The following is a 23,055-nucleotide window of genomic DNA, read 5'->3' on the forward strand; positions in this document are numbered from 1 at the left end:
TCCTCCCCACAAATGAGTCATCTGAAAGTAAAACCCGTGGCTACAGGGAAGAGACACTGAGTCTCATCCTCTATGCCTCAGAAAATCACTATTAACTAAGAATCAGGGAACTGATAAACCAAATGCCCTCATCCCACAAAACCGTCCACACTGACAATCCCATTCTACTGCTACAGATTTCAAACGGCTCACAGATAAAGACAGGGCTGTCCACTCGCAGTCCCTTGAACGCTGGGGCTGGAAGGAACGGGATGTCCTGCGCTGCCTTTCCACTAAGCCTCTGCTCAACAGGTGTCAAGTGCCACTCTGTCCCCTGGGTCCCACCATCATCTGGCCACATTTACAGGCTGTGACAGCAGCAGCCAAATGTTCGGTTTTTACACTCTGTCCAGGCTTGACTACATTTCCCTTAGCTATCCCCTAAAAGCCTCACATCATGGTGATGAATTATAGATCAAATGCACTCCCGACTGTCATACCCTCTTAACTCACCGAGCCGTGCCATTCCCACGTGCTTCTAAATGGCCAGCAGAGCCACCAGAAACGGGCAGAGGCGAGAACATGACTTCAACTTGGTGTTTCTGGTGGATATGTTTTCAGACACCCAGAAGAACTGCGAAGAGACAGCTTCTCTGTATAGCATCCCTCGGAGATGCTGCAGACTTGGTTCCAGGCCATCGCAATAAAGCAAATATCACAGTAAAGTGGGTCACACAAATGTTTTGGTTTCCCAGTGCATATTAAAATGTTTATGCTACATGATAGTAGAAAGTGAGCAATAGCATTATGTCTTAAAGAATCCAATTATATACTTTAATTTAAAATATATTATTGCCAAAAAGTGAGCACATGCTGTTGGAAAAACGGCACCAACAGATCTGCTTGAAGCAGGGTTCCCACAAACCTTCAATATGGAAAAGAAACTCCACTGTATCTGTGAAAACACATAAAGCAAGTACAATAAAATGAGGTGTGCCTGTAATATGACCGTCCAACACAAGTAACCTTCCATCAGTGTTCCCACAAACACTGTATCCTCAACATGTCACCCGATGATGCAACCCCAGTACCTTGAGATGGGGTATATGGAGGATTTGCTCTTACATGTAGTAGACTGAGTGGGTCGAGGCTTAACAAAAGAAACTGCAAGTGAATGAGATAAAGCTACGGAATTTTGTTGAGTACAGCAATTTAGTGAGTCACTTCATTTTGCTAGATCTTCATTTCTGAAATGAATTTTAGACAAAATAACTGAAATCAATTATCAGGCCAGCCCACGAAGTACTGCTGAGCACAGGCATTGCTAGAAGTCACAACCAATAACACAACTGGCAGTAAGCGCCTTATCACAGAGATGGAGAACCTGATCACAGAGCCCACGACGGAGGCCCTGATGCCCATCTCCCTGCAAAGCAGATGAGATGTCCAAACTGTACTTCCAGACCTGGCCCATAAAATAAGATGGAGTGTGGAGATCACAAAAGTAGGTACCTACCTGGAGATAAGCTAACTCTAGATTTTTTACAGGAAAGCTAGTTTCATGCCATAAGATATTAAAGCTCTTCCTTACCAGAAAAAAACCTTATACAAAGCAAGACAGGCTGTATTTCCTGTGTTCTAAATTATCGTGGGAACCTCAGTTACATCCTCTCCTGCCATGTTTTGGGGCTTGGAGGTAAGAAAGAGGTAAAGCAAACAGATAACACTGTAAAGGGATGAGAGGTAAGTAGAAAAGAGAAAACAACTGAAAAAGCAAAAAAAGGTTCTTTGTCGTCTGCACAAAGCACTTCCTGCTCTGGGTTTCCATCATGCCTTTTCTGAGAACCAACACCTCGTTTCCTAATCCACTACTATCCCATGCTGTGACGGGAGGACCATGACCACCAGCACAAAGGACCACAGCAGAACATAAACAGTGCAGGTGAGGAAAATGCAAACTTTGCCGTAGAAAGCAGAACCATGTGAATTTCCCGTGAGTCACCCTCACTCTAAAGAACACTCACATATTTGGTAATGGCTCTCATGAGCTGGGCCGGTGACAGAGGGCATCTCCACCAGAACCATCTCCGGTCAGGCCACATGAGGGTGGAGGCATGGTATAGCTGACGTTCAGGTTGACGAGGAGACACTACAAAGGCTTGCCATCCTGGAATTTACCAAACCCAAGAAGCTGGACACTGATACTTTTTTTTTTTTTTTAAGACGGAGTCTCGTTCTGTCACCAGGCTGGAGTGCAGTGGCACGATCTCAGCTCACTGCAACCTCCGCCTCCCGGGTTCAAGTGATTCTCCTGCCTCAGCCTCCCAAGTAGCTAGGAGTACAGGCACATGCCCCAACGCCCAGCTAATTTTTATATTTTTAGTAGAGACAGGGTTTCACCATGTTGGCCGGGATGGTCTCGATCTTTTAACCTCGTGATCCACCTGCCTCAGCCTCCCAAAGTGCTGGGATTACAGGCGTGAGCCAGCTTGCCCGGCTGACACTGACGCTTCTTTTTAAAAGAAAACATTAACAATGACATCCAGCACATCTTTATTGCTCTGCTTGCTAACAAGCAGCACACCTGTGTTCCAGTGGTGAAATCCATGTGCTCAGCAACACAGTGCAGACTGCAGGCTTCATCACATCCCCAGCACGTGACCCATGGAAATCAGAGACTGGAGCTGCTTCCTGCCATTTCCGAGAATGAAAAGAAACAGAATTCACTAACATCTTAAAAATCCTTCTACAGTGATTTTATTATAAATATGTTCTTTTGGAATAAACAAATATTGCATTCAAGACTATGGGCAAACTTGCTCTAAAGTAACAAACGAGGAAGAAAGGAACCAGGAACCATTTAGAAGTGGAGAAAAACACAGCAAAGACACCTGCATGCCACGCTCAGCGCCTTTCTCCCAGGGAGTAACAGAAGGTTAACAGGGAACATCACATTGCCCATGAGCCCATTCTACTCAAATAAGCTTTGAGTTTGGTAATTTGCACTTGTTTTGTAAACTGAACTGCTCCTCTCCTCAGCCGCAAGAAGCAGATAGGAAGACAGTCTTCAGACCCCGAGCATCAGCAAGAACACTCTTGATTGTGTATCTGTAACTCTGTTCCAGGGCAAAACTGTTCCCTATTTGCTGGAAGTAATGTCAGAGTAATCCTTCAGCACTCCAGCCAAGTGTTCGTTATGAGTCTTAAAGCGTCGCTTTTTCTGTGAAGCAGGCTTTTTCCTTCTCTGAATAGGGGCCTAAAGGAAAAGGTAAAAACAATTAGAAACAACAGCTGCTCTGAGGGGTGGTGTGGCCAGGATGTTCTGAGCATGCCCAGATGCCAGTGGCTGAGGATGCCAGGTTCGGACCCTTCTCCTGCTCTGCCACCCAGCAGCACACATGGGGCACAGCACACGCCCTGACCAGACCCCGGGCCTTTGTTCCCCTGAGATGCAGATGCCATCGGGAATGAAGGAGCAGGCACAAAAACCTGCCAAAATGGTTCTAGGCACTAAGTCAAACAAAAGGGACGATGAAGCCCTTCAGCTCTGTCTCTGTCATCAGGTTTAAAAACGTATCCACCATTACCGATTTTAAAAAGATCTGAAGAAAATATGGCAAAATCCTGAGAAAGGAGGAGCACATGAAGGTCTGTAATATTCTCTATTCTTTTCTATATACTTGAAATATTAGCATCACATGATGAAAAAAATTAACAAATGAGACAATAATAGGAAATCATGAAGGGCTGCAATTACACTCATTTGTGGAAAGAGATTGACAATAAAGCTTCCCTTTAGGTGAGTCCTAAAAATTCACCAAACACACATGCCCACCCCACACCCCAGAAAGACACAGGTGACAAGCTATGAAGCATGACGGTGGATAAGGAAAGGGGGGAGGAGCACAGCACTGCTAACAAGGGTGCTGGTGAATCATCCCCCCGGGCTTTGTTCTTAGACTACAGATTTTATTTGCTGGTGCAAGGCAATGTAAAAGTCATCATTTAATTACTAACATCCCCTGTGAGCAGGATTTAGAGACTATACGGACAAAAATATCTGGTTCCTAGAGGACCTGAAAGTTACTATGGCAGAACCAGGCACCAGGACGGCGAGGCTCACGGAGCAGGGGAGGGCCCCGTTCAAGTCTGAAAGGTTGTGCAGATCAAGGCACAGCATCCCTTTAAGAATAGGGAGAAGGGCTTGTAGCAGCTTAGAGTGGGAGAGTGGGGAACACACAGGCCCTGGAAGGTTCCATATGGCTATACCTCAAGAGCAGGACTGCTTGGGAGGAGCTGGGTGTAGAAAGGCACTCACAGGCCTGGAGCAGCACCGAGGGCGGGTCTGCAGGCCTGCAATACCTCAGATGTGACCTGGGCTGCGGACACTGAGAAACAATGGCGGGGGAACAACTCCCAGCTCTTCAGAGGGCAGAAAGCGGAGCAGGCTAACAGTTCCCAGGGCAGGGGATTAAGCTGCTTTGCTAGAGATTACGCACCACTTTCTTTGGTCCAGATTCCTGCATGGAAGAAATACCCTGTCGCTTCAGATATTCTTCAATTTTCTCCTCGTCCATGGAATCTACAGTGACACTCCTCCACAGTTTCTGAAATTCTGTATCAAACAGACACTAGTTATTTTACAATCCATTTTTACAAACTATAGCATCTTGATCAAAATCCAGGTTTCAGTGTTATCTCCTCTGGATCCAAATGAGCACATCTGATATGTCATCATGAAACAAGTCAGGGCAGAACATCCACATGTGGGACACGGTGCAGGGAAAGGCCTGGAGACAGAACTGCACCCACACAGCCCCGACAGTGGGGCTGTTTCTTGAGGCCAGCAAATGAGGGCTGCCACAATGAAGCCGCCCTGCTTTCCTGGGCCGTCAACACCCTCCTTTAATTCCTCTATTTAGGGCTAACAGCTTATTTCCTGCTCAGCTCCCCTAAGCATGATATACTCATTCCTCTCTCATTGATAATAGAAAATAAGAAACGTGTAGGGAGACGGGAACCGAAGTTTCACATGGAAATGAGGTTATTCAACAATTTATCTGCAAAAAAGACTTTTGAAATCAAATAACCTGGTAACTGGTGACTAAGGAGGCATGAAAGGGAAAGGGGGGATGGCTGAAATAGAAACACTGTCTCACCTCCTCTCTGTAATACAAGGAGAAAGGCGACAGTCCTGCCTGCAGCTTGTCTTCAGAAACCTGTAGTCCCTCTGCCACATCACTATTTTTGCAACCAAGAGAGACCACAATTGGGAAGCATTCCAAATGAACATTATTTACATCTTACATTCTGCTCCTGAAGACAGGTTCTGATCACTGGTTTCACTTAATTATCAGAAGCTACTTTCAGACACAAAATCCTAAGACTTACACGCTCAGGAACGAAAAAAGGAAAAGCTCTCTGAGCCCCGAGGCTTCACAGAGCCTCACACTCACAACTGCCCCACGCACTGAGGGGATGCACCTTCCCTTCCTTTCTTCCCACCCCAGACCCTCACCCAGCGCCGCCCTCCTTTTCTTCCAGAGCCAAGAACTTCCCACGGTCCGTTTACAAATGATAAATGAAGTAGGCATCTGATACTGTGCTAGGCCAGATTTCTTTCCTTTTCCCCTTTTCCTTCCTTCCCCCTTTCTCTCTCATTTCAGTACACGCTGCATAAAGCAAATGATGCCCACATAGGCAGGACTCTGGTGATACCATGGAAATCGGTTTACTGCCACCTACCCTGAAGCTTTTCATTGCAGGTGACCAATGGCAAAAGTGGCAAAATCTACTACAAAGAATTCAACCTGAGCATAAAGTTATTTAAATCCAAAATGTCTCTAAATAAGATTTTTTAATTTCCATAGATACATTAGGGGTTCTTTCTACTACACACCCACTGAACGTTCATCTGCACACATTATGGACATGACCTAACTGATAACAACTGTGTGCATGATTGTCTCGGCCTCTCTAAGCTCCTTGAGAGCAGGGAGCTCTATTTCCATCTTGTTTCCATGATAGTCGGCGTATTTCCATCTCGTTTCCATGACAGTCGGCACTGTACCTAGCACATGACAGGTCCTCAGTGATTTGACTACTGAATGTATGAAACACCATCACTGTCTACTACAGCCTAGACAAGACTTCAACGATTTGACTACCGAATGTATGAAATACCATCATTGTCTACTACACCCTAGACAAGACAGACTGTTTTCTTTTTTTAAAATTTATTTATTTTTGAGACAGGGTCTAGTTCTGTTGCCCAAACTGGAAAGCAGTGGCGCAATCTCAGCTCACTGTAACCTCCACCTCCTGGGCTTAAGCAATCCTCCCACCTCAGCCTCCTGAGGAGCTGGGACCAAGGTACACACCACCATGCCCAGCTAAGTTGTTTCTGGGGGGGTGGGGGGTTGTGTAGAGATGAGGTTTTACCATGTTGCCTAGGCTGGGCTCAAACTCCTGAGCTCAGGCAATCCATCTGCCTTGGCCTCCCGAAGTGCTGGGATTACAGGTGTCGAGCCACCATGTCTGGCCTATATTTTTCTTTTTACATTTTTTAGACTTTTAAAAAATAATTTTACACTAACAAAAGGGTTACAAAATGAGTACACAGAGTTCCTATATGCCCTTTATCCAGCTTCCCCTAATGTTAACACCTTACATAACTGTATAATTATTGAAACTAACATGGACATATTACTATTAATTCATCAACAGGCCTTACTGAAACTTCACAAGTTTGAAGTGAAACTTCAACTTCACCGATGCTCTTTTCTTGGCCCAGGATCCTGCCTGTCACATCTCTTTGGTCTCCTCCATTCTCTAAGTGTGGCCAGTCTTTGTTTCCCCACTGGTCAGTTGTTTTACAGAAACTTCCATTTGGGTTTGTCTAGTATTTCCTCATTACTAGATTGAGGTTATGCAATTCTGGCAAGAACAACACAGTAACGAGCTTGTGCCCTTCTTGGGGCACAGTAGCAAGCTACATAGTGTCAACATGGACCCGGTAAACGCTGACCATCAGGCAAGGTGTTATCTCTCAGGTTTCTCTGTCATGAAGCTATCAGTTTTTCCTTTGTAGTTAATAATTAATGGAGAGATATTTTCAGACTATATAAATACCGTTTCTCATATTATCACTAATTTTATAATAGCATCCATTGGTAGTGCTTACCTACAAAAATGACTACTTGTAAGTAACTACTGACAAATTATTTCCATCATTCCTTCCATATGTACTAATTAGAATTCTACTATAATAGGCTGGGCACGGTGGCTCATGCCTGTAATCCCAGCACTTTGGGAGGCCGAGGAGGGTGGATCATTCAAGGTCAGGAGTTCAAGACCAGCCTGGCCAACATGGTGAAACTGTGTCTCTACTAAAAATACAAAAATTAGCTGGGCATGGCAGTGGGTACCTGTAATCCCAGCTACTCAGAAGGCTGAGGCAGGAAAATCACTTGAACCTGGGAGGCGGAGGGTGCAGTGAGCTGAGACTGTGCCACTGTACTCCAGCCTGGGTAACACAGCGAGACTCCATCTCAAAAAACAAAACATAACAAAAAACACAAAGAGCTGCTCTTCCTTCAGTTCACTGTTTGTTTGTTGAGACAGGGTCTCACTTTGTCACCTAGGCTGGAGTGCAGTGGCACAATCTTGGCTCACTGAAGCCTCAACTTCCTGGGCTCAATCAATCTTCCTCCCTCAGCCTCCCAAGTGGCTGGGACTACAGGCACATACCACCACACCAGGCTAACTTTTGTATTTTTAGTAGAGACAGGGTTTCATCATGTTGCCAAGGCTGGTCTCGAACGTCTAGACTCAAGCGATCCACCTGCCTTGGCCTCCCAAAGTACTGGGATTACCAGCCTGAGCCACTGTGCCCAACCTCCAACTTGTTTTTCAATTATTTAATTTAGCAGACTCATGGATATTACTGTACAGATTTATATCTACATATTTATTACACAGATAATCCATGACGATCAGTATTTATTTATTTATTTATTTTATTTATTTATTTTATTTATTTTGAGATGGAGTCTCGCACTGTCACCCAGGCTGGAGTGCAGTGGTGCGATCTCGGCTCACTGCAAGCTCCACCTCCCGGGTTCACGCCATTCTCCTGTCTCAGCCTCCCGAGTAGCTGGGACTACAGGCGCCAGCCACCACGCCCAGTTAACTTTTTGTATTTTTTAGTAGAGACAGGGTTTCACCGTGTTATCCAGGATGGTCTCGATCTCCTGATCTTGTGATCTGCCCGCCTCAGCCTCCCAAAGTGCTGGGATTACAGGCGTGAGCCACCGTGCCCAGCCGACGATCAGTATTTATTTTGTGGTTCAAACATCCCAGCTCTAATCACTAAGATTTCCTTCATGTTGGTTCCTATGTCCCTGACTTGCTTCCCTTTTTTTTTTTTTCCTCCAGTTTTTCTTCTTTCTCTCACTTTCTGGCGGTACTAAAAGATGTTCCAGGCTCATCTTGTATTTCCCCTCATTTGGAATCAATGATTTCTTCAAGGATTCCTGACTTGTTTTATTATAGAATGGTATTTAAAAACCAAGATCTACATATTTTGGGTTTTTAAAAATAGCAATCTCTTTTTTGAAAACAAAATGATCAAGGGACATCAAATTTAAAGGCAGACACTTTATTATGGCAGAAGACAGCCAAGTATCATGAAAGTCAGGCACACTCTAAACCGTAAGGGTAAATAAAATCAGAACTGATTTAGAAATCTACTCTCTTAGCAGAAAAGAGGAGAAAACAGACTAGAATTTAAAAGCTCAGATTTGATCCTTTCATTTCAAAAGACCCTTCCTTGTCCCACATGAGTTAAGAATAAAAAACTGTGTAACTGCCATAGAAGGGAAGAAAATGAGCCAACTTACCAATGAGGCTTTGCTTAAAATTCCCAAATAACGCACTCACATTTTGTCTGTGCTTAGCCCTTTCCCGTAAATGCAAAAGTAGCACAACAGTGTGGTGCAGGCCTCAGAGCCAGATGGCCTGGCTGTGACCTCAGTTACCACATTTCCTGCACAAAGTGGTGCAAACATCTTAATTTTTCTGCCTCCATTTCTTCATCTGTAAAGTGAGGATAATAATAATACCTGCCTCGCCGAGCGTGGTGGCTCTGTAATCCAAGCACTTTAGGAGGCCAAGGCAGGCGGATCACCTGAGGTCGGGAGTTCGAGACCAGCCTGACCAACATGGAGAAACCCCATCTCTATTAAAAATACAAAATTAGCCAGGCGTGGTGGCACATGCCTGTAGTCCCAGCTACTTGGGAGGCTGAGGAAGGAGAATCGCTTGAGTCCGGAAGGCAGAGGTTGCGGTGAGCCGAGATCACGCCATTGCACTCCAGCCTGGGCAACAAGAGCGAAACTCCGTCTCAATAATAATAATAACGATAATAGTAATAATAATACCTGCCTCATAGAATAGTGAGGATTAGAGGAGTTAATAAAGCACCGAAAATAATGCCTGCAAATGAAACAGCATTATCTACACCTATTACTGTTATCATCACCATCTAACACCCATCATAATTTTCTGTGTGCTGGTGTCTTTAATAAAGGCAATATAAAACATTTAAGAAGAGGATCAGCTACTAGACACAAAGTGATCTCATTTATGTAAAGCAGAAGAAACAAAACTTCTAAAAATTTCTTAAAAAGCAAAAACACATACATATTAAATACATCGTAAAGATGTGGAAAATACACACCAATAGGTATCCCCAGAGAAAAGAATACAGTTTGCTTAGAGAATTTTCATTTTTTTGTTCTGCAGACTTGACAAAGGTTTTATTAATAATATGCAGAAATATTTGTGTATTGCTAGTGTAAAATTTTAAAGAAATAACCTAAAAATAAGGAGGATCATACTTACTAATAATTCACGCACTTGCCACTTTTTCTCAGCCCCACATTAGGCTATGGTGTTCTAGTGTTAGCATTAAGGTACATCTTTGCCCTTTAAAAAAAAAAAAAAAAAAAAAAAAAAAAAAGGCCAGGCCCAGTGGCTCATGCCTGTAATTCCAGAGCTTAGGGAGATGGAGGTGGGAGGACTGCTTGAACCCAGGAGCTCAAGGCCAGCCTGGGCAATATATAGAGACACCATCTCAAAAATTTAAAAAACAAGCCGGGCATGGTGGTGTTCACTTGTAGTCCCAGCTACTCAGGAGACTGAGGTGGGAAGAGAGCTTGAACCCAGTTTGACGTTGTGAGCTACAATTGTGCCACTGCACTCCAGCCTGGGAGACAAAGAGAGACCCTGTCTCTAAAACAACAACAACAACAAAACCAAATGCAGAATCTCAACGAGCAACACGCCATGCCTTCCTCCCTTTTCCTTTAACAACACGTGTTATTAACGTGACTTTTTATCCTCAAAAGTGTCATTATATCCACTTTGCAGTTCCAGAAAATAGGACATTTCTCAATTTACCTCATCTTCTAGTGATCTTACATTTGAGACCTATCAAAATAATTTCTTGTGTGCTACACAGAAAAATGCACCCCCACCCAAGATGTCCACAACGTAATCCCCAGAACCTGTGAATACGTTACCATAAAAGAGACTTTGGTGACTAAGAATCTTGAGATGAGGAGATCTCAAGATTTGGATTCTGAATTGGAAGAATTAATACTGTTAAAATGTCCATACTATCCAAAGTGATCCACAGATTCAATGCAATCCCTATAAAAATTCCAATGTCATTTTTCACATAAATAGAAAAAATAATTCTAAAAGTCTAATGGAAACACACAAAAAAACTGAATAGCCAAGGCAATCTTGAGCGAAACAAACAAAACTAGAGGTACCACACTACTTCAAACTATATTACAATGCTACGGTAATCAAAACAGCATGGGACTGGCATAAACAAAAGCCCAGTAATGAACCCATGCATTTACAATCCGCTGATCTTTGACAAAGGTGCCAAGAACACACAATGGGAAAAGGACAGTCTCTTCAATAAAGGGTGTCGGGAAAACTGAATATCCACATGCAGGAGAATGAAATGAGGCCACTGTCTCACACCATATAGAAAAATCAACTCAAAATGGATTGAAGACTTAAACATAAGACCTGAACCTGTGAAAATACTACAAGAAAACACAGGGAAAACAACACAACACTGGTCAGGGCAATCATTTTTTGGATTTGACCCCAAAAGTTCAGGCAACAAAAGCAAACATAGACAACTGGGATTACAACAAACCAAAAAGCTGCAGCATGGCAAAGTAAACAGACTGAAGAGACAACCTACAAACTGGGAGAATATATTTGCAAGCAATACATCTAATATGGGTTTAATATACAAAATATAGGGCAGGTGCCACAACTCATGCCTATAATCCCAGCACTTTGGGAGGGCGAGGCAGGAAGATTGCTTGAGCCTAGGAGTTTGAGACCAGCCTGGGCAATATAGTGAGACCTCGTCTCTACAAAAAATGTTTTAAGATTAGCCAAGTTTGGCAGTACATATCTGCAGTCCCAGCTACTTAGGAGGCTAAGATGACAGGATCACTTCAGCCTGGGAGGTGGAGGCTGCAGTTAGCTGAGATCATGCCGCTGCATTACAATCTGGGCAACAAAATGAGACGCTGCCTCTAAAAAAGAAAAAAAAATTATATATATTTTCCATATATATGGAACTCAAAATAATAGCAAAAAAAAAAAAATAACCTGATTTAAAAATTGGCAAAAGATCTGAATATTGTCTGAAAATTCAGAAATCCTGAAATGTCAGAAATATTCAGACATTTCTCAAAAGAAGATATACAAATGAGGCCAGGCACAGTGGCTCATGCCTATAATCCCAGCACTTTGGGAGGCCAAGGCATGTGGATCACCTAAGGTCAGGAGTTCGAGACCAGCCTGGCCACCATGGCAAAACCCCATCTCTACTAAAAATACAAACTCAGCTGGGCATGGTGGCGGGCACCTGTAATTCCAGCTACTTGGGAGGCTGAGGCAGGAGAATTGCTTGAACCCAAGATACGGAGGTTGCAATGAGCCAAGACCGCACCACTGCACTCCAGCCTGGGCAACAGAGCAAGACTCCGTCTTAAAAAAAAAAAAAAAAAAAAAACCACACAAATGACCAACAGATATATTGCTCATCATTGCTAATCATTAGGGAAATACAAATCAAAACCACAATGATTTCCAACTGGGGCAGAGACTTAAAGGAAAAAGGAGAAAGAGAAGTACAATGAGCCATCACTTCACACCTGTGAGAATGGTTATCCTCAAAAAGAGGAAAGATAACATGCACTGATGAGGATGTAGCAGAGGGAACACCTGTACACTGTTGGTGGAAATGTAAATTGGTGTAGCCATTATGGAAAACTGTATGGAGTCCCCCCAGAAAACTAATAACTAGATTATCATTTGATCCAGCAATCCCACTTCTGGATATTTATTCTAAGGACTTGAACTTAGTATGTTGAGGAGATGCTTGCACTCCCATGTTCACTGCAGCATTACTTACAACAGTCGAGATAAAGACTCAGTCTAAGTGTCTATCAACAGATGAACGGATAACAAAAATATAATATATATACACACAATGGAATTCTATTAGCCTTAAAAAAGAAAGGAATTCTGTCATTTGCAACATGAATAAACCTGGAGGACATTGTTAAATGAAATAAGCCAGGCACCGAATGACAAAAACCGCATGTTTTCACCTCTACGTGGAATCTAAAACAATCAGAACTCAACAGAAGCAGAGAGTAGAATGATGGCTACTAGAGGCTAGGAGAAGGGGAATGAGGAGGTGTTGGTCCAAAGAAAAAGGAATCTTGAAAGGCAGGTTATCCTGGATTATTTGAGCAGACCTAATGTAATCACAAGGGTCCTTATAAAGGAAAGAGGCAGGCAAGAGAGCCTGAGTCAAGGTGGAAGCAGAGGTCAGAGTGATGCTGGGACACAAGCCAAGAAATTCGGGTAGCCTCTGGAAGCTGAAAAGGCAAGAAAACGAATTCTTCCCATGAGTATCCAGAAGTGCAGCCCTTTTTACCCATTTAAGACTTCTGACCTCCAGAACAGTAAGATAATACGTTTGTGTTGTTTTAAGCCATGAAGTTTGTAGTAACATCTTACAGCAGCAACAGGAAACTAATACACACTGCTTGAAAATTTTCTTTTTAAAAAAGTACTGGCCTGGCCGGGCACAGTGGCTCACGCCTGTAATCCCAGCACTTTTGGAGGCTGAGGGAGGCGGATCACGAGGTCAGGAGTTTGAGACCAGCCTGACCAACATGGTGAAACCCCATCTCTACTAAAAATGCAAAAAAAAAATTATCCGGGCGTGGTGGCACACGCCTGTAATCACAGCTACTCAGGAGGCTGAGGCAGGAGAATCACTTGAATCCAGGAAGCAGAGGTTGCAGTAACCAAGATCGCACTACTGCACTCAAGCCTGCTGACAAAGCGAGACTCCACCTCAAAAAAAAGAAAAAAGTATTGGCATGGTGCAATGACTCACACCTGTAATCCCAGTACTTTGGGAGGCCAAGGTGGGAGGATCACTTGAAGCCAGAAGTTCAAGACCAGTCTGGGCAAAAGCGAGACCTCCATCTCTACCAAAATTTTTAAAATAATAAATTGGCCAGACATGGAGGCATATGCCTGTAGTCCCAGCTAAGAGACTGAGGTGGGAGGATGGCTTGAGTCCAGGGGAGTTCAAGGCTGCAGTGACCTATGACTGTGCCATTACATTCCAGCCTGAGCAACAGAGCAAGACGCTGTCTTAAAAATAAAAAATAAATTTTAAGTATAACTTAAGCAGGCAGGATTATAAAGACAAGTGCCACTTCATCCTCAACATTTCAACAAGTATTTCTTGAGAATTCTGTCACTACCACAGTATGACCTGCTATCTGGACATCTGTAAAGAACAGGCATCGTCTGCCCAAATCTGTGCAGCAGAGGCTGGACAGAATGAGAAGAACTTGGCAGCACTTGCTGTTCTTGGTGATCCTGCTGAAATCTACACTGAGCAATTGCACTTTTTACTCGGGATAAACACCAGACACCAAAACAAGAAGGGGAGAAGCCGTGGGGTAACTCTTTACCTTGAAAACTGCTTTACAATGGGAGAAACACCATATTCTTTTGAACAACTACTTTAAATTGTCCTTTTATTTTACTAAGGTATAATTTATGAAAATTAAAATCCTGCACATTTTACTGTACAATTCCTGAAGTTTTGACAAGCATATGGTCATGCTAACACCACCATGATAATGATATAGACAGTTCCACAACCGCAAATCACCCTATGCTCCTCTGCAGTCACTCTCTCCACGGGCAGCCCCTGATCTGTTTCTATGGTTCTGTTTCCCAGGAATATCATAAACATATAAATAAAATCACACAGCATGTCCCTTTCGAATCTGGCTTCCCTCATGAGGCACGATGCCTCTGAGATTCATCCATGTTGTTGGAATGTCAGTCCTTTGTTCCTTTTCATTGCTGAGTTGTATTCCACTCTAAGTATGTGCCACAGTTAAGGGGAAGTTAAGGGACAGTTAAAGGATGTGAGTTGTTTCCAATTGTTGGTGGTTATGAAGAAAGCCAGTATAAATACCCATTAATTTAATGTGAATTTGGGTTAACACCCAAGAGTGGGATGGCTGGGTTATACAGTAGTATATATTACAATGTAGAGATCTATACCTACTATTTAGCTTTCTAAAGGACACTGGACCCACGTCTCACACCATAAACAAAAACTCTAACTCCTAGAGGAAAAACCCCTAACTCCTAGAGGAAAAAACAGAGGTAAATCTTCATGACCTTGGATTAGGCAATGGTTTAGACATGACACCAAAAGCACAAGCAGCAAAAGAAATAAAGATAAAGGACTTGATTGAAATCAAAAACTTTTTTTTTTTTTTGAGACAGAGTTGCACTCTGTCACCCAGGCTGGAGTGCAGTGGCGCAATCTCAGCTCACTACAACCTCACCCTCCCAGGTTCAAGTGATCCTCCTGCCTCAGCCTCCCGAGTAGCTGGGATTACAGATGGGGACCACCATGCCCAGCTGATTTTTGTATTTTTAGTAGAGACAGGGTTTTGCCATGTTGGCCAAGCTGGTCTCGAACTCCTAACCTCGGATGATCCACCTGCCTCGGCCTCTCAAAGTGCTGGGATTACAGGTGTGAGCCACTGCGCCTGGCCCAAAATTAAAAACTTTTATACCTCATAAGACACCATCAAGAAAGTGAAAAGACAACCCACAGAATGGAAAAAAATATCTGTAAAGCATGTATCTCACAATGGCCTTGTATCCAGAATAAAGAATTCTTACAGCTCTGTAATAAAAGCACAAAACAATTTTTTAAATGGACAAAGGATTTCAATACACATTTTGCCAAATGAAATATACAGATGGACCGGATGTGGTGGTTCACACCTATAATTCCAGCACTTTGAAAGGCCACGGCAGGAGGATTACTTGAGGCCAGGAGTTCAAGGTCAGCCTGGGCAACAGAGTAAGACCCTGCCTCTATAAAAAATTAAAATATTACCCAGGTACCGTGGCACACCTGTTGCCCTAGCTACTCAGGAGGCTGAGAAGGGAGGATTGCATGACCCTAAGAGCTTGAGGCTGCAATGAGTTATGATAGCATCACTGCACTCAAGCCCAGGAAACAGAGTGAGACCCTGTTTCTACAGTAAAAAAATAAAATAAAAATAAAATAAAATATAAAATGGCCAATCAGCACATAAAAAGATGTTCAACATCATTAGTCATTAGGGAAATGCAAATCAAAATCACAGTAACACTTCACATCCACCAGAATGGCTAAAATCAGTGTTGGCAAGGGTGTGGGGAAAGCAGAACCTTCCTAAGTTGCTGGTGAGAATGTAAATTAATGTAGCTGCTTTGCAAAATAGTATGACAATTCCTCAAAAAGTTAACCACAGAACTACCATATGATGTAGCAATTCTACTCCTAGGTATATACCTAAGAGAAATGAAAACACATGTCCACACAAAAACTTGTATAGGTATGTTAATAGCAGTATTATTCACAACAGCCAAAAAGTGGAAAAACCCAAATATCCATCAACTGATACATGAAAAGTGTATGGCCATACAATAGAATTTTTTTTTTTACTATAAGCACTTAATGCTCTTTATTTCCCTATAAGCACTGCTATAGCTGCATCCCATGAATTTTGATACACTGTGCTTTCACTTTCATTTAATGCAACAATGTTTTTACCTCCCTGTGATTTCCTCCTTGAACCATAGGTTACTTAAAGGTATTTAATTTCAGGCTGGGTGTGGTGGCTCACATCTGTAATCCTAGCACTCTGGGAAGCTGAGGTAGGCAGATCACTTGAGCCTAGGGGTTCAAGACCAGACTGGGCAACACTGCAAAATCCCATCTCTACAAAAAAATACAAACATTAGCCAGGCATGGTGACACACACCTGTAGTCCTAGCTACTGGGGAGGCTGAGATAGGAGGATCGCCTGTGCCCAGGGAGGTCAAGGCTGCAGTGAGCTGTGATCATGCCACTGCACTCCAGCCTATACAGTGAGACTCTGTCTCAAAAAATACATAAATAAAATAATTTCCAAATGGACAGTCTCCAAATATAGCTACTAGCTCTGTTATTGATTTCTAGCCTAATTCCATTACGGCTCACACACATCGTTCACGTATAGTCAGCCTTTGGTATCCATGGGGGATTGGTTCCAGGACTCATACAGATACCAAAATCTACAGATGCTCAAGTCTCTGATATCAAATGGTATAGTATCTACATATAACCTATGCCTATCCTCCCATGCACTTTAAATAATCTCTGGATTACTTACAATGCCTGGTACAATTTAAACACCATGTAAATAGTTATACTGTATTGTTTAGGGAATAATGACAAGGAAAACGTCTGTATGTGTTTAATAAAGACAAAATTTTTTTCCAAATATTTTCAGTCTATAGTTGGTTGAATCCACAGATGCAGAACCAAAAGACATGGAGGGCCAATGATACTTTCAATTCTTTCAAATACAATTAAAGCTTGTTTTGTGGGCCAGAATACCATCCATCTTGGTGAATATTCCAGATGAACTTGAAAACATACACACAGGGCCAGGCACAGTGGCTCACGCATGTAATCCCAGCACTTTGGGAGGCTGAGGCAGGCGGGTCACTTGAAGCCAGGAGTTTGAGACCAGCCTGACCTGAAACCCCGTCTCTACTAAAAATACAAAAATTAGCCAGGTGTGGTGGCACGTGCCTGTAGTCCCAGCTACTCAGGAGGCTGAGGCAGGAGAATCACTTGAACCCGGGAGGAGGTTGCAGTGAGCTGAGATCACACCATTGCACTCCAACCAGGGCAACAAGAGTGAAACCTGTCTCAAAAGAGAAAAAAAGGAAAATACATGCACAGTATTCTGCTGCTGCAGGACAGTCTGTTCTATAAATCCCAATTAGGTCAAATTAGTTGATGGTGCTCTTCCGGACTTCTATATCATAATTTTCCATCTATCTGTTCAATCAACTACTGAAAGAGGAATGCTGTAGTCTAACTGTGGATGTATGTATTTCTCCTTTTAGTTTCATCCATTTTTAATTCATGTATTTGGAAGGCCTGTTGTTAGATATATAGGTATTTAGGACTATTATGTACTCTTGGAGAATTGATACTTTTACCATTATGTAACGTCCTTTTTCTTTTTGAGACAGGCTGTGGCTCCGTCACCCAAACTGGAGTGCAGTGGCACAGTCATGGCTTATTGCAACCTCCAACTCCTGGGTTCAGGTGATCCTCCCACCTCAGCTTCCTGAGTAGCACTACGAGACTACAGGTGCACACCACCACACCAGGCTGAGTTTTTATTTTTTGTAGAGACGAGGTTTCGCCACGTTGCCCAGGCTGGCCTCAAGCGATCCTCCTGCCTCAGCTTCCCAAAGTGCTGGGATCACAGGTGTTAGCCACCATGCCCGGCCCATGTCCTTCTTTAATCCTTGGTAATTTTCCTGGCTCTGAAATCTACTCTGTCTGATATTAATATAGCCACCCTAGCTTTCCTGATAGTGTTTGCACAGTATATCATTTTACATGCTTTTACTTTTAACCTGTCTATATTTATTTTTTATTTTTTTATCTTTCTTTCGAGATGGAGTCTTGCTCTGTCACCCAGGCTGGAGTGCAGTGGAGCAATCTTGGCTCACTGCAGCCTCCGCCTCTTGGGATCAAGACATTCTCCTGCCTCAGCCCCCCAAGTAGCTGGGATTACAGGCGCATGCCACCACACTCAGCTAACTTTTGTATTTTTAGTAGAGATGAGGGTTTCACCATGTTGGCTAGGCTGGTCTTGAATTCCTGACCTCAGGTGATCTGCCCACCTCGGCCTCCCAAAATGCTGGGATTACAGCTATGAGCCACCACACCTGGCCTAACCCATCTATATTTAAAGTGAGTTTCTTTTTTTTTCTTTTTTTAGACAGAGTCTCCCTCTGTCACCCAGGCTGGAATGCAATGGCGCGATCTCAGCTCACTGCAACCTCCACCTCCCCAGCTGAAGCAATTCTACTGCCTCAGCCTCCTGAGTAGCTGGGCTTACTGGCACGCACCACCACGCCTGGCTAATTTTGGTATTTTTAGTAGAGATAGGGTTTCACCATGTTGGTCAGGCTGGTCTTGAACTTCTGACCTAAAGTGGCCTACAGTGGGTTTCTTATAGACAGTATATACTAGACAGCTGCAGGAATGGATCTTTAAAAAAAAAAAAAAAAAAAGTGGCCAGGCACGGTGGCTCATGCCTATAATCCCAGCACTTTGGGAGGCCGAGGTGGGAAGATCGCCTGAGGTCAGAAGTTCGAGACCAGCCCAACCAACATGAAGAAATCCTGTCTCTACTAAAAAATACTAAATTAGACGGGCGTGGTGGTGTATGCCTGTAATCCCAGCTACTGGGGAGGTGAGGCAGGAGAATCACTTGAACCCAGTAGGTGGAGGTTGCGGTGAGCCGAGATCACACCACTGCACTCCAGCCTGGGCAACAAGAGCAAAACTTCATCTCAAAAAAAAAAAAAAAAGTATATACTAGAGTCTTGCTTTTGCACCCAAGCTGAAAAATAGTGTGTTTAGACCATTTACATTTAACACAATGATTAATGTAGTTGGAATAAAGGCTATAATCTTCACCACTGTTTCTATCTGTTCCATCTGCTCCTTGTGTTTTCCTTCTGTCTCCGTGTTCATTTAGATTAGCTGGATACATTTGTATGATTCCATTTTATCTCCACTATTGGCTTATTACATTTTTTTCAAAAAATGTTTTTAGTGGTTGACCTAGGTTTACAACATACATATTTAATTAATCAGAGCCTAGCTTAGAGTAAGTCATAGCATTTCATATGTCATGTAAAGACATTAGAACAGTATACTAGACCAATTATTGATCCCTTCTGACCTTTAAGCTAATTTGTCATAAATTTTATTTCCCATAACACGCCCTAAACACAAAATATATTGTTAATATTTTTGATTTATGGTCATCTTTCAGAGAAATTAGAAAAATATTTTTAAATAATAAAAACTCTATCTCCTAGAAACGTATTTGTATAGATCCAAATGTCTAATGTCATACCTCTTCTTCCTGAACAACTTCCTTTAATATTTCCAGTAGTGCAGGTCTGATGGCAATGAATTCTCTCCATTTCTGTTTCTCTGAGAGAGCATTTGTCCTTCATTTCTGAAAGATTATTTTTGCCGGATGCAGTTGCTCACACCCGTAATCCTAACACTTTGGGAGGCTGAGAAGGGCAGACTGCTTGAGCCCAAGAGTTCAAAACCAGCCTTGGCAACATGGTGAAACCCCATCTCTACTAGAAATACAAAAAAATTAGCTAGATGTAGTGGCATGTACCTGCAGTCCTAGCTACTCAGGAGGCTGAGATGGGAGGATGAATTGAGCCCTGGAGGCAGAGGTTGTAGTGAGCCAAGATTGCACCACTGCACTCTCGCCTGGGCCACAGAGTCAGACAAGAAAAAAGAAAAGAAAGGAAAGGAAAAGGGGAAGGGGAAGGAAAAGAAAAAAGAAAAGAAGAGAAAAGAAAAGAAAAGATTATTTTTGCTGTGTACGGAATTCTGGGTTGAAAGGATTTTCTCCCTTTTGGCCATTTAAAGATGTGCTGCATTATCTTTCGGTCTGCATGGGTTCTAATAAGAACTCTGCATTCTTTTTTTCCTCTGGAATTAGTCTCTTTCCTCTGACTGCCTTCAATATTTTCCATCTTTCATATTCTGCAATTTGAATATGATATGCCTCGGTGTTTTTCTGTCATTTGCCTGGTTTGGGGGATGATCTATTGGTGTTCTCTGAGCTTCACAGATCTTTGGTGTCCATCATTAATTTTAGAAAATTCTTGGTCATTACATCTTCAAGTATTTCTTCTGCCCCGTTTTCTTTCTTTTCCTTCTCAGACTTTACAAATTCAGACCACTTGATATTGTCTCACAGCTTATGGGTTCTCTGCCCTATTTTTTTCACACTTCAGCTGTATTCAAGTTCACAGACTCCTTCTTTGGCTACACCAAGTTTAATAATGAGCTTGTTGAAGACATTTTTCACCTATGTTACTGTCATTTTCATTTTTAGCATTTATTTTATTTTCTTACAGTGTCTATCTCTCTGCTGAAATATCCTACCTGACCATACAAGTTGCCTGCCTTTTCTACTAGAGATTTTAACATACTGAACAGTTATTTTAGATTCCATGTCTGGTAGTTCCAAAGAATTTGGTCTTAAAAATGTCCTGTCTCAATTCCATGTCTCGTAGTTCCAAAGAATTTGGTCTTAAAAGTGTCCTGTCTCAATAGTGTGTTGTTCTTCCTTCCTTCTTTTTATGCCTCAAAAACTTTTTTGAAAGCAGGATATCCTTTGTAAGACAGCTAAGACTGAGGTAAATAGTTTTTATGCCTGGGAAATGGGCCCGCCTTTCCTTCTGCCAGATCTTTAGTGTGTGGAGGTTGAGTCAATCTATTGTCAGAACAGAAGCGTGGTTTGGAATTTGTTGCTGCCATGGTTACCCACAATGTACCACCAGCTTCGAACTGTGTTAGGGTAGTGGCTGGTTTGCCAGAGGATGTTTTCCTCAGTGTCTGTTCGACCTTCAGCTTTTTTGGTCTTCCTTTTACGCTGCATCTGAGCTGGTCTGCCTCCACGTTCTTGCGCCTTACACCGATCTCCAGTGTCACCTGTCAGTCCACAGCTGTTAGCCTCGTATGGGTGGGAAGATTCTCTGACATTAGGATTAAGCCTTGGTCTTGGGCAAACACTGTCTTCCTTGGTGACTGGGGTGTGGCCTTCTCAGTGCTCCTGCCCTTTCTCCTCCACTAAAGTTCTGGGCCTAGCACATATTCCTGTCCCTCGCCAAGGACGAAAGACTTTTTTTCTGTTCTCTTTCCACAGTGGTTTAAGGCTCTTATCTCATAGGAGCAAAGAAGGGAAGAAGGACTCAGACAGGGCTTCGTGTCTTTCCAAAAGGATCTACTGTCCCTCTCCTCCAGGGGGAACAGTAAGGGACACTTTCTCAGTACCCACACCCTTGCCTCAATCTTTTTTGTAAGCATCCAATGAAATCTGTGGAGAAGAGCCTGTGAGTGGATACAAACTCCCCCTGTGTCTGCAGCCCCCCAGGCGATCTCTGTTTTCTTGCTGGTCCACACTAAGTTCATTAAATTTTAACTGAATTCTCCTGCGGGATGTTCACTTTGTCTGTCTCAGGTAAACAAGTGCTCAGGTCTTACCTTTCCAAGGGGGTGCCTGTCTCTCCTTACAGTTTGGGTTGGGAGGTTGTCCTGCAACCTCAGCTCACTGATGAATTCAAGAAGATATCAGCATGCAGACTTCTGGGGTTTGTTGTTGCTGTCAAGGTAGGAACGATGCTCTCTCTAGCTTTCTCCATTCTAAGTAGAAGCTAAAAGTCCCCAACTATCTGCTTTTCAGCCAAACTTTAAAGGCTGTTTAATGAATGTGGCTAGCTTTGCTCACTATAGGCATATATGAAAGAAAATAATTTCAGGTCAAACTTCCAACTCAGCAACAAAAATATCTCTGTAATCCCAATAAAGCATGCAAAATTACTGTTTTAAAATGTAGGCAATAGCCAGAATTTTACATGTCAAACTTATTATTATAGCTGTTAAAGAAACTATATCCTACCAAAGAATAGTTCTGGTATTTTGATCATCAATTTGTTAAGTTCTAATTTATCAACATGTGAAAACTGTATCCATTTCTTTAGAATATGTATTACATATCTGTCCAACAAGTCAACTGTGTACTTCTCTTTGTATAACAATAAAGGCAAAATGGGAAAGAAGTACATAGGAAAAACATACCTTTTACTCACTGGTTAATTTCATTCAATACACTTTCTACCACTGCAAAATTTCAGTTCCTTGAAAACAGAAATTTCTTTGCCTTTCTACCTGATATGCAAAGAAGCTTACATACTGCGGACCTCTTATGACACAATCGCAGAGGTAATATTACCTACTTAAATAGTGGCAGCAATGGTCTGGAAAGCTGATCTGTATATTACTGTATAGAAAGAACACACAACACTATAAATTTTCATGGCACAATAGAACTGAAAGTACACTTTAAAATTTTTAATTTAACTAGTTCCTTTTGTTTAAAGTCACTTGAGCTATTTTCAGAGAAAAACCCTGAATAAAAACTCTTCAATTTTTTTCAATAAAACATTTATACTTAATCCCTGCCTTTCCTTAGCTCAATGCTGTTGCAATATTTAAACATGACATCTACTATGTAAATGTAAATATATGACATCTACTATGTAAATCATTTAAATATGACATCTACGTAAATGTATTACAGCTGCATAAATACTTAAGATGAATACTGGAACACGGGTATTTTAGAGGTACAATCTCACAGAATCTCAAATTTAATTACTTTTTAAAACATGTGGGGACAAAATGTTCAGTTGACAAAGAGAAATAACCTGGTTTTCTTTAATTTTATAAAATGCGTGAAAGAAAATGAATTT

The 23,055-nt window shown here is 42.3% G+C and overlaps 1 protein-coding gene across 6 annotated transcripts in view; it reads right to left on the minus strand.

The window, feature by feature from the left end:
* Positions 2,516–23,055, minus strand: part of GTF2E2 (general transcription factor IIE subunit 2) — a 79,919-nt gene continuing 59,379 nt past the window's right edge. For 4 of the 6 annotated variants that reach the window (NM_002095.6, XM_017013364.2, XM_017013363.2 and 1 more), the window contains exons 7-8: positions 4,479–4,594; positions 2,516–3,235 (exon numbers count right to left, since the gene is read on the minus strand). In NM_002095.6, coding sequence (NP_002086.1) covers positions 3,119–3,235; positions 4,479–4,594 — 233 coding nt within the window. In that variant the 3' untranslated portion in view covers positions 2,516–3,118. Of the gene's footprint in view, positions 3,236–4,478; positions 4,595–8,622; positions 9,357–23,055 lie in introns of those variants that run through there. The other 2 variants (XM_011544509.3, NM_001348353.1) reach the window with 1 other exon arrangement.

Source organism: Homo sapiens, chromosome 8 (assembly GCF_000001405.40).
Source record: "Homo sapiens chromosome 8, GRCh38.p14 Primary Assembly".
Taxonomy (NCBI): domain Eukaryota; kingdom Metazoa; phylum Chordata; class Mammalia; order Primates; family Hominidae; genus Homo; species Homo sapiens.